Below are 11,415 nucleotides of genomic sequence, written 5' to 3' on the forward strand. Positions count from 1 at the left end.
CCACCTTGGCTTCCCAAGACACCAGCCCAGGTGTCTTTTTTATACAATGGTTCCCTTTGGGTAGATGCCCAGGAGTGAGATGATGGTAGTTCTATTTTTAGTTCTTCAAGAAATCTCCGTACTGTTTTCCATAGAGGTTGTACTAATTTACACTTACACTAACAGGGTATAAGGATTCCTTTTTCTCTGCATCCACCCCAACATCTGTTGTTTTTTTTGAGTTTTTAATAATAGCCATTCTGACTGGTATAAGATAATACCTCAATGTGGTTTTAATTCACATTTCTCTGATGGTTAGTAATGTTTAGTATTCAGAAAATATAGTTATTTTAAATAAACTGATGTTTACATTAAAATGTAATTTTTTAAAAAAATGAATGAATAAATACTTTAAAACTTCCTCGGTTTTAACTCCAGATGTGGTAAATATCAAAAGCTCTTTGGATTCCTCAGTAATTTTTAAGAGTATAAAGGGATACAGAGACCAAAATTTGAAAATCACTGCTGTACAGAATGGAACCTAGAAGGAGAGAAGACAAAGAGCAGGCTGTGTAGCTGCATCACTTTCTTTTTTTTTTTTTTTTTTGAGATGGAGTCTTGCTGTATTACCCAGGCTGGAGCGCAATGGTGCAATCTTGGTTCACTGCGGCCTCCGCCTCCTGGGTTCCAGTGATTCTCCCGCCTCAGCCTCCCTAGTAGCTGGGATTACAGGCATGTGCCACCACTCCAGCTAATTTTTGTATTTTTAATAGAGACTAGAGATGAGGTTTCACCATGTTGGCCAGGCTGGTCTTGAACTCCTGACCTCAGGTGATCCGCTCACCTCAGCCTCCCAAAGTGCTAAGATAACAGGCGTGAGCCGCTGCACCAGGTCTGCATCACTTTCTAGGTGACGGAGGGGAGCCATGCCTAGTCACTATGAATTTTACAGACTTCTCGGCAAGTAAGTTTCAAGGACCCAATTTCTTATCGGTCTTTAAGGCTTAATGACAATAAATTTTAAAGATCAGTCTTGGCCAGGCGCAGTGGCTCATGCCTGTAATCCCAGCACTTTGGGAGGCCGAGGCGGGCGGATCACGAGGTCAGGAGATTTGAGACCATCCTGGCTAACATGGTGAAACCCCATCTCTACTAAAATACACACAAAAAAATAATTAGCCGGGCGTCGGGGCGGGTGCCTGTAGTCCCAGCTACTCAGGAGGCTGAGGCAGGAGAATGGCGTGAATCCGGGAGGCAGAGTTTGCAGTGAGCTGAGATCATGCCACTGCACTCCAGCCTGGGCGACAGAGCGAGACTCCGTCTCAAAAAAAAAAAAGATCATTCCGGACTTCTTGTGGTTTCCGGAGCACGTTCAGCTCCTGCCTCTAGTCTTGTGCACTCGTTGTTCTCTCTGGTCCATCTGGGAAACTCCAACCCTCCTTCAAAACATATAGTGCCAGCCTCTCCTCTCTGCCCCCGGGAACCCTGTATATCCCTTTTCTATACACTAAGCACATGGCTCTGATGTTTGTTTATGTGGCTTTTTCTCTATTGGGAGTGTGAGGCCTTGAAAGCTAGAATTTTTTCTTAATCCTGGTACCTTCCTCAGTACTTGGCATGCAGAGCGAAACTCAGAAAAGATCTGTTGGATTAATAAAACCAAGCAACTCCCTAACATGCACCAACCAATCTTTCAGCAGCAATGTGGCTTCTCCAGGGAAGACTATGTTGACCAGCTGGGAGAAACAGTACAGGATTTTTAGTATTTCTCAGTATGATAAACAACTGACATTTTGACTCACTAGCAAGTCTTGATATAGTTAAGACTGGTGTGAAACCTGAAACTGTAAAACTGAGATCCAAATCTGGGACTTCAAAACCCTCTAAGGCAAGCACCCCTTGCCCAGCCCCCAACATACTACAAGGACCCTCCCTAGGGAGACGGCTGGCCTCCTTCTGCAAGACCCATGTCTCAAGCTCTCTAAAATCAAAACAATGCTTTTAAGCAACCAGGTTGGAAAGAGAAATTTTTAATAAAATGAAGAGTATATGAAGACAATTATAAAGTCACTGCTGTAGCTTGAACTGCTACATGACCAAGGACTTCATAACTCAATTAGAGAAAATATTTTTTCCCCAAATTTAATGTAAGCAATGTGTGGGAATAAAGGATGTTGAGTTAGATAATCCCCTGTAGGCCTCACAGATAATACCATGTGTATACGTTTTGAAAAATGTTCACATACCTCAGGATGTTACAGCTTCTTTCTGGAATGTTGCTACTGTCCTGTTAATCCCTCCCCCAACCTGCCCACCACAATGTTCTCTTATCCTGTTGTTCATCACCCCACTTCCCTTCCTTCCACTATACTGCATTCTCCTGCTTCCCCACCCTATTCATCTAGGAACTAGGGGAGGATACAATAAAGCTGATAGTCATAAGACATTTCACAGACTAGGCTCTGCCAAAGAACACAATCATCTGATTCCCTTGTCCCTACAAAGTAAGAATCTTGGAAATCATCTATTCTCATTCTTATTTTACTAAAGAGGAACCTGAGAAAATGTAAAGTGATTGATAAGCCATATTTTCTCAATCCATTTCCGTATATTTCAGGAAGCTTGATCCCAAGGAAAAGAGGGTGCTCCACAGTCAAAGGGAGAAGGAAACTGAGGAATGGTTAAGACTGTCAGTACCCACTCATCATCATTTACTGAGCATTTACTAGATGCTAAGCACCAGAAGTCCTATGTTAGCAAAGGCAGACAAAGAAAGCCCTATGTGTTTAAAATTTAACAGATAATAAATCAGAGCCAGACTGGGCGCGGTGGCTCACGCCTGTAATCCCAACACTTTGGGAGGCCGAGGCAGGCGGATCACCTGAGGTCGGGAGTTCGAGACCAGCCTGACCAACATGGAGAAACCCCATGTCTACTAAAAATACAAAACTAGCTGGGTGTGGTGGCGCATGCCTGTAATCCCAGCTACTCAGGAGGGTGAGGAAGGAGAATCGCTTGAACCCGGGAGGCGGAGGTTGTGGTGAGCCAAGATTGCACCATTGCACTCCAGCCTGGGCAACAAGAGCGAAACTCCGCCTCAATAATAATAATAATAATAAATAAATAAATTAGAGCCAAAAATAAAGTAAATGCAACAAGCACATTAAAAACAAACAAACAGTAGTTTAGGAAAATGAAAAGTTTAGCAAGTCTCTCTATGAATGGAACAGGAAAGACATGAAGAAAAATTAAAAACTGGGTAAGGACTAAATAATTCACTCACCTTGCAATTTAAGGATTTGTTTAGAAAGAGTGTGTACATTCATTACTGGGAAAGTATTTCTGGTGACCAAAAAAATCCCACAGTAACAACACTGAAGTATTTTTCACAAGAACCCTTAACCCCCTTACTTCGCCACAAGAGGGTGCACATTTCCTTAGGAATACAGTAACCCAGGGAAACCTGCTCAAGTTCCTCTAGGCAGCTGCTCACCTCTGCTCCGGCACCTCTCTCCCTAGCCATGGCAGTAATGAGCATCTGCACATAGTTACATAGGTGAAACGTGTTCACATACTTTATCTCATTCAATTCCAACAACAGCTCTGTGAGGGCGGGTTGGGCAACTTATCAACCCCATTTTATAGAAGAGGAAACACACTCAGAGGTGAAGTGACTTGCCCAAGGTCAGAGAGATCATAATGCTAGAGCCCAAATGCAAACTCACGTTGTCTAGTTCCCAAATCCTGTATACATTTTCCTTACCTCCCTATTAAAGCATAATCAAAAATTCCACAATCGTTCAGCGTCTCTGTTCATCCATTCTACTTCTTCTGAGCAAAGAATCATACACTGGGCAGATGAGAAACTGCTCACTTTTGCATTGTTAAAAACGAGTGAAAGCTGGTTTTTAACAAGTGTGTGTTAGCACCTGGCAATTATCTTTATAGGTTTCCAATGAAGTGAGAAGTACGCTGAAACTTGTCTACAGTATTTAAGGCAGCAGTAACGTGGAAAAAAATAATTTTAATTTTCCTGCTTACAGCAGGGAAATTAATTGTAAGCTCAACTTTCTTTGGACAGATCTTATGAGACTCAGGCTAAAACCTAACTCCAAAACCCTCCTCCTGTCAGAAACACTAGAGTATAGAGGTCAAGGATTTTGGAGTTGGATGCCAGGCTGCCTGGGTTCAAATCCAGGTTTTCCCACTTACCATTTGACCTTGGCCAATTACTCAACTCCGACGTGCCTCAATCTCCCCTCTGCAGAGTGGAGATAAGAGCAGCAGCTCCCTCACACTGTAATAGCGAAGACAGCGTTGTAACATGAAAGCACACATAAGTGCTCAAGCTACAAAAGGCAGTCCTTACTCTAAAAGGCAGATGAGATTATTAATGTTACAGACTAAAGAAAATATATTAATTTTATGTGCATTTTATCAGTGAATTACATTTTATGACAATATCAATGCTTGAAAATACATTTAAATCCTTTTTTTTTTTTTTTTGAGACCAAGTCTCGCTCTGTCGCCCAGGCTGGAGTGCAGCGGCATGAACTCAGCTCACTGCAACCTCCGCCTTCCGGGTTCAAGTGATTCTCGTCCCTCAGCCTCCCGAGTAGCTGGGACTACAGGCATTAGCCACCACACCAGGCTAATTTTTGTATTTTTAGTAGAGATGGGGTTTCGCTGTGTTGGCCAGGCTGGTCTTGAACTCCTGACTTCAGGTGATCCACCTGCCTCGGCCTCCCAAAGTGCTGGGATTACAGGCATGAGCCACTGTGCCTGGCCTTACATCCCTTAATCTATGTGCACAGCAATTATGTCTATCTTAAAGGATTTACAGCATAAATATAAATAGCTAAGAACAAAGCTCTCATATCTTTGCTTTTATGACAGTGTTTGGCATTATCGATGGTCAGTCTCATGCCAAGTCCTTGGTCAAGAAAAAAGAGCTAAATTACAGAGTTCCTCCGGGAGGAGATAATAAGCTTTACACAGCAGAGGGGAAGGCTCCTTACCCCAGGAACCTGAAGACCCAGGCTGTACTTACAGCTCTGCCACTAAATAGCATCTCCTAATCCCACATCCATAACTCTTAAATATTTCTAAAAATATACCTTTTCATTTCCATCACCATGATCTTAATTCATATCCTTAACAGCATGGACTCCTAACTAGCCACAGAAGTGGAGCTCATTAAGTTTGTTGAATGAGTGAATGAATGGGGGGTGGGATAGTGACACCAAAGAAGACCACAGAAAACGGGGGAGAAGATTAGTTTATAAACTATATGCATACACTTTGTTATCTCAAGTCCTAGCTCAGCTCTGATTTCACAGAATGCTGGACCACTCCAGTAAGGCTAACCAGAAGGAATCCACCCTCCCTCTCAGAGTTTTTTCTTAGTGGTAGTGTCACAGGCCCCAAGGGGTCCCCCAGATCACCGTTTCAGTCCAGTTTGTTGGATCAAATCCATCAGATCCTTAAGGCCAGCAGCTCCTGCACCTGGTTGAAGCTGCCTTGGCACCTCTAGGTCTAAGGGGGTACTGGGCCAAGGTCACGGGGACTCGGAGGTGGGGGGGCCACTCTTTCACAGGGTCTGAGTGCCTTCCAGCTCCTTCCAAGGGCCCCAACAAACCCTTCCATTCCAAACACCACACTCCTCCTTTTAAGACTGCCCTCTAAATTCTGATTTAGTTTGAAGGACATCTCTGTTGCCTAACTCCTATGGGGTAGAGATAATTCCATGGCCACATCTCAATCCAAGGTGAACACTTTTTACAGCTTTGACCTCAGATTTTGACACTGCCATGGGTTCGGCTCCCCTTCTTGGGGACATGGCTTCACACACACAATATGTGCACCATCATTCCCTACCCATGCGATGGCAACATCTTGGGGATGACATTTCCTCCACTGGAATAGGCCCACTTGCTTACCCAATGTGGCCGTGAATTAAACAATAAGAGAACATCTCTGCATCTTGCTCACAACCTGAAATTCCCAGCAGGGGACACCATGCAGGTGGGGAATCAGTCATCTGATGGCAGAGTTAATGAGCTCAACACTTAGGGTTTCAAGTTAGGCTTCACGGGCAGTCTCTGCGATGTCGGACTGCACAATGTTGGGGACATGCCTGAATTTGGCTTCCACAGATTGTAACAAGAGTTTTCCTTTTGACCCTGATACGCAAAACTGTGCCATCAGTACTGGGTGGCAAATCTATGCTAGGAAGGGACATGATCTCAGCCATCAAAATTAGAAATGGAACAGCCCTCCCCAAATCTAGGCAGAATAACTTAGTCCTAAATGTCTTAGAAGGGCTTTTGATACTTGTCTTGGGACTCTAATTTACAAGCTAACAAGTGTCACCATGAAAATGGCTTTTTGTGATGTTTCGCATTAATTTGTATTTCTTTTTATATACTGCTTTGATTGATTCTAAATACATTTTCTCTTTCCATGATGTTTACATCCTTCACATTCCTAGGGACTGTTATCATATCCCCTTTAATCATCCGTTGGCCAAGCTATACATATTAAATTCCTTTCATCTCTCCTATGTCCTTCCTTCCAGCAGCGTTGGCTCCTCTTTAAATTCCTTCCAATCTGTCAACATCTTTCTGGAGCTGATGTACACCCTCCCTTAATAAACATTCTAGGTGCTCCTTGTTTCCTAAGAGTTCTCCAAAGACTCCTACTGTGAAAAAATATTGGACTGGGAGTCAAAAGTGGTAGTTCTAGTCCTGGATCTGCTCCAAGCCTCAGTTTTCCCTTTTATAACATGGGAGTAACACCTTTTTTGGCTTGATCAAAAGAGAGTATAAAATATAAAATCACTTTGCAGATTATAAAGTAAATGTGCACAAAGAATGTGTGCATATAGTATTTGCACAATATTAAAAACATAAACAAAAAAATTGGAAACAAGTATGTCAAATAACTTGTTAAATCTGATAGTGGCATTCGCAGTAACAGTTACATTATTCTATACATTGAGTGCTTTACATTTCAACTTCAAAGAATTATTTATCCATTTACTACAAGTATTTACTTAACTTCTACTCTACACAAGAAGACAGACTAGACAATGTGGGAGAACATGAAGCAAAGACCTCGAGAAGTTATGATGGTCATCCCCAGTTCTTAGACACTCAGTACTTGGTTTGGATCACAGAATATCAGGAAGCTGTTCCTGCTGTCTCTTGGATTATGCTTTATAACATTGTGGTGATCTCTTATTATTTCTTTAGAGTAGATTCTGAGAAACAGAATTACTAGGTCAAAGGGTGTGACCATATTTAGGCCTCAAATTTCCAAATAGTTTCCCAGAAAGAGTGTGCCAATTTCTACCCTCACTGCCAATGTTTAACAGTGTATTACCAGGCCATTGCCAACACTGGATATTATCTTTATTCCAAATCTAATGAATTGCTTTTAGAATTCATAAATAAAGGCATGAAAAAATCTAAAATAAATTCATTTCTACCAAGATTAAGTATCCTCACTTGCTATCTATTTTGATGTCGCCTTGTGGTAAGTATTCAACAGAATCTTTAGTACTTCAAAAGACATTAACTGAGTGCCTATTATTTTCCAGGCAATAAAACTGGGGGTTAAACCACAAAGATGAAATAGTCCCAGATCCTGCCTTTAAAGGGCTCATAATCTAGTGTAAAAGATAAACACTAATAATTACAGAACTAATTATAGAGCACTGTGGGCAGAGGTCCTTCCTTGAGAACATGAAAAGTATAAAAGCAACACAGAAGACGGAGGCAGGAACAGCCTAGGGGAGTCAGGAAGGGCTTCAGGGAGGTGGCAATATCCGAGCTGGGTTTTGAAGGATGAGCAAGTCTTAACCAGAGAGGGGAGAACGAAAGAGATGAATCCAGGCAGAGGAACCAGTTGTTGGTCTTTGCAGCCACTACCATCCTCTCTCAGAAAATGTTTTATTATATGAAGGTTTAGCAATTCAGGGCTAAGCCTCACTGGGCAGTTTTATTGTTTTAATCTCTATCATTTACAGTTGCATTTCTGTCCCTGGAGAAAGCAATCAGAAAATATTCCTGGTACTTCATCCAACAAAGGGCACAAGATCACTGCTGCTTCCTTCACAGAGAATGCTGTTTTATAAAAACAAGTATTAAACAATAATTTTGCTAAATACAAACTTTAAAACTTAGATTGTCAAGCTTGAAGAGGACCTTTAATCCTTAAAGATCCTTAAATACTTTCTCAGGTAAAGTGGGAATATCTATAAGTTAAGATGAATAACTTTCCTTTCCACTCCTACAAAATTAAATCAATTGGAGCTACAAAAAAAGTCACAAAACCCAGTTTAAAAAATAGCACAAGAAATGATTAATGACATCAGATCAATTTTCAAATAATAAAAATATTCCTAAAAGCTGCCCTTTTATATGTGTTTTCACATATCTTTGGTGGCATATATAAATATCCATGTCTGGGATTTAGCAGCGTTCTGAAAAATATACTCTTGTGGAATAGGGATTACAACGGTGGACTTAAAACAAAACGAAACGGCCATTGCAACTGTACTAGGTTACAAGCCTCTAACCTGTCCTGGAATTTTCAAAGCCCAAACATCACTGCTGGTCTCTAATCCTCAGTGTGTTTAAATTGCAGGGCATTTAAACAGAATTGGCAGAAAAACACATACAAAGGGGCCTCTTTATAAACTGTAAAAAGATAGCATTCCAATTACTCTGTCAATTATTTTCTTTTAAACTAAGTCCTTCAAATTGTGCCGTATGGCTCAAATGTCTTCCTAAACCCTTCTGTTATCAAAAGGCAAATAGATCTTCCCTTGAATCTAAATGACAGCCTGGCTTTCTCCTGGCTCCTCAGGAATCACTACCACCTGCCGGAATGCAGCTGAATTTGGCCAGGAGCAGACACACTGATGCTGTCCCGTGATGAGGACAGATTCTCTAGTCAGGGAGCTCTAAGGGAAGGCTATGACCAGGAGTCCAGGTACCCAGACACGCGAAGCTTCTCTTTCTGTCTAGCCCCACAATGCAACCCAGATCTCGGCGGAGGTTCCAGACCATCTGCCACCGTGCTTAAGACTCAGGTCAGCCTACGTTCAGATATTGAAAATTACCATTTATCTCCATCTTTATTAAAAATAAATATACCATCAAATTATGTCCTTTTTTTCCCTCCCCCCCACCCCCCCTACCCCCCACCCCGAGACAAGGTCTCACTCCCATTGCCCAGGCTGCAGTGCAGTGGCACAAATGCAGGTCACTGCAGCCCTGACTTCCCAAGTTCAGGTGATTCTCCCACCTCACCCTCCTGAGTAGCTGGTACTACAGGCGTACACCACCATACCTGTCTAATTTTTAGTACAGACGGGGTTGTGCCATGTTGGCCAGGCTAGTCTCTAACTCCTGGGCTCAAGCAATCCACCCGCCTCAGCATCCCAAACTGCTGGGATTAAAGGTGTGAGCCACCATACCCGGCCTTTTTATTTCCTTCTCAATTGTTGAAAAGCAAAGGGGATCTTTACACAAAACCATGTATGTCCACACAATTGGACTGGCATGAAAAATAAATGTTTGTTTGCATATTTAGAAAGATACATATCATACAAGGTGAAGAATAAAACACTAAACCATTCATTTACCATTTAATCAACAGCACCTACTATGTGCCAAGCACTGTGCTGGGCTGAGGACACTGAAATCAATAACACACAGTTTCCCATTCTCAAAACATTCACAGTCTAATACAGACCAGTACTATTTTCTCCTTCATATTAAATGTCTACCTGCTGAGTTTCCAACAGAACTAGCCAAGAGTATCAGATTTACTCACCTCCCAACCTTAGAAGTATAGTCATTTGAAGTCTTTTTGTTCTGTGTTATGCTAATAATCATAATAGTTAAAACTGATTGAATACCTACTCTATGTCAAAGGTCAAACTAACCTATTTTCTTAATGTTATCAAGAGTAATCCTTTGAGCTACTCTTATCATTGCTTCTTCACAGGTGAGGAAACCAAGCTCAGAACCATAGGTGTCTTACTCATAGCCATATACCTAGTAAAGGTTAGAGCCAGGATGTAAGCTTGAGTCTGCCCAAACTGGACTTATGCTCTTAATTACCAAGCTTTGTGGTCTATACTCACTCAAGGGACTGTCAAGAGTAGCTGCAAGTTGAGGAAATGTTTGCATATTTTCTTTTTTTATTTTATTTTACTTATTTATTTTGAGACGGAGTCTCGCTCTGTCGCCCAGGCTGGAGTGCGGTGGCGCGATCTCGGCTCACTGCAACCTCCGCCTCCCAGGTTCAAGCAATTCTCCTGCTCAGCCTCCTGAGTAGCTGGGATTATAGGCACATGCCACCATGCCCGGCTAATTTTGTATTTTTAGTAGAGACGGGGTTTCACTGTGTTAGCCAGGATGTCTCGATCTCCTGACCTCGTGATCCACCAGCCTCGGCCTCCCAAAGTGCTGGGATTACAGGAATGAGCCACTGTGCCCGGCCGCATATTTCCTTCTTGAGAAATTGTTCTGTCAAAGGCACAAGGGTAAAATACTCCAATAGCATATAAAAATCCTCTCAGAGATAAGTTCAGCGAGTTATTGATTTTCAAACCTCTTGCCAGCCTACCGATAATTTTATAAATCCAACAGAACCATATGCAGAATACCTTGCTGCAAGCAGAAGTACAATTTTGAAGCTACTGGTTGTCAATTTTGATTTTTATTGAACTTCATAAATCTCAAAGCTGACCTTTCAGATTCATTTCTTTCCTATTCAGGATCCATGGGCTAATTTGACCAATAGACACAAGATAAAAGAATGAATGGGTATCAGTGGTGAGTGGCACCCTGTCCCATGAATAACTGCTATTTGTCATTGTCAAAAACCTGGAATTCGCTCTGAACAGAGAAAAATTCCAGGTCCCATGGGATTACAGATAAGGAGAACTCAACCCAGAACAAAAAGCCATGGAAAGGGTGACAACAGTAACTGGCCACTGTCATTACAAAAATTACAACAGTCAGGGCTGGCTTCATGGGTGAGCTCATTTGATGCCCAATGAGTACGGGATTTTGGTAGACCCACCATGAGTGGGAGTTCCACAAGATGCAGAGCAAGCACGAGGTAAGCATGTTATATCTATGACTGAGTATGTGTGGGTGCAGCCCAAGAGACCACACTTTCTACTGGAACTAGAATTTGCCTTGAATGTAGAAAGAAGGCAATGGCACTCTGAGAAACATGAACAACCCCTCTTACTCATGTTACTTCTTCATGTTAGCCAACCACTTACACTAAAAATGGTGTTGTATGTTATAGAAGGAAAAGAAGAGATAATTCATAGTTTCTTTTCCATTAGTTTTCCATAGCTCCATTATTCATTAGTAAGCTGAAGGTGGAGAATATTGGTAAAATGTGCAT

General features: G+C 41.9%; 1 protein-coding gene across 31 annotated transcripts in view, besides 2 other annotated features; it reads right to left on the bottom strand.

Moving 5' to 3' along the window:
* The window catches only part of IGF2BP2 (insulin like growth factor 2 mRNA binding protein 2), a 181,913-nt gene that overhangs the window by 87,549 nt on the left and 82,949 nt on the right, over positions 1-11,415 (bottom strand). The window lies entirely within an intron of this gene.
* Positions 1,145-1,644: an enhancer, noted in NCBI's record as "H3K4me1 hESC enhancer chr3:185449611-185450110 (GRCh37/hg19 assembly coordinates)". NCBI's record gives its function as "activates a minimal SCP1, AML or CMV promoter by ChIP-STARR-seq in primed H9 embryonic stem cells {active_cell/tissue: H9 hESC(primed)}" and the evidence as "EXISTENCE:reporter gene assay evidence [ECO:0000049][PMID:30033119]".
* Positions 3,327-3,376: a silencer, noted in NCBI's record as "silent region_14976". NCBI's record gives its function as "represses an Ori minimal core promoter by ATAC-STARR-seq in GM12878 lymphoblastoid cells {active_cell/tissue: GM12878}" and the evidence as "EXISTENCE:reporter gene assay evidence [ECO:0000049][PMID:35858748]".

This window comes from Homo sapiens, chromosome 3 (genome assembly GCF_000001405.40).
Source record: "Homo sapiens chromosome 3, GRCh38.p14 Primary Assembly".
NCBI lineage: Eukaryota > Metazoa > Chordata > Mammalia > Primates > Hominidae > Homo > Homo sapiens.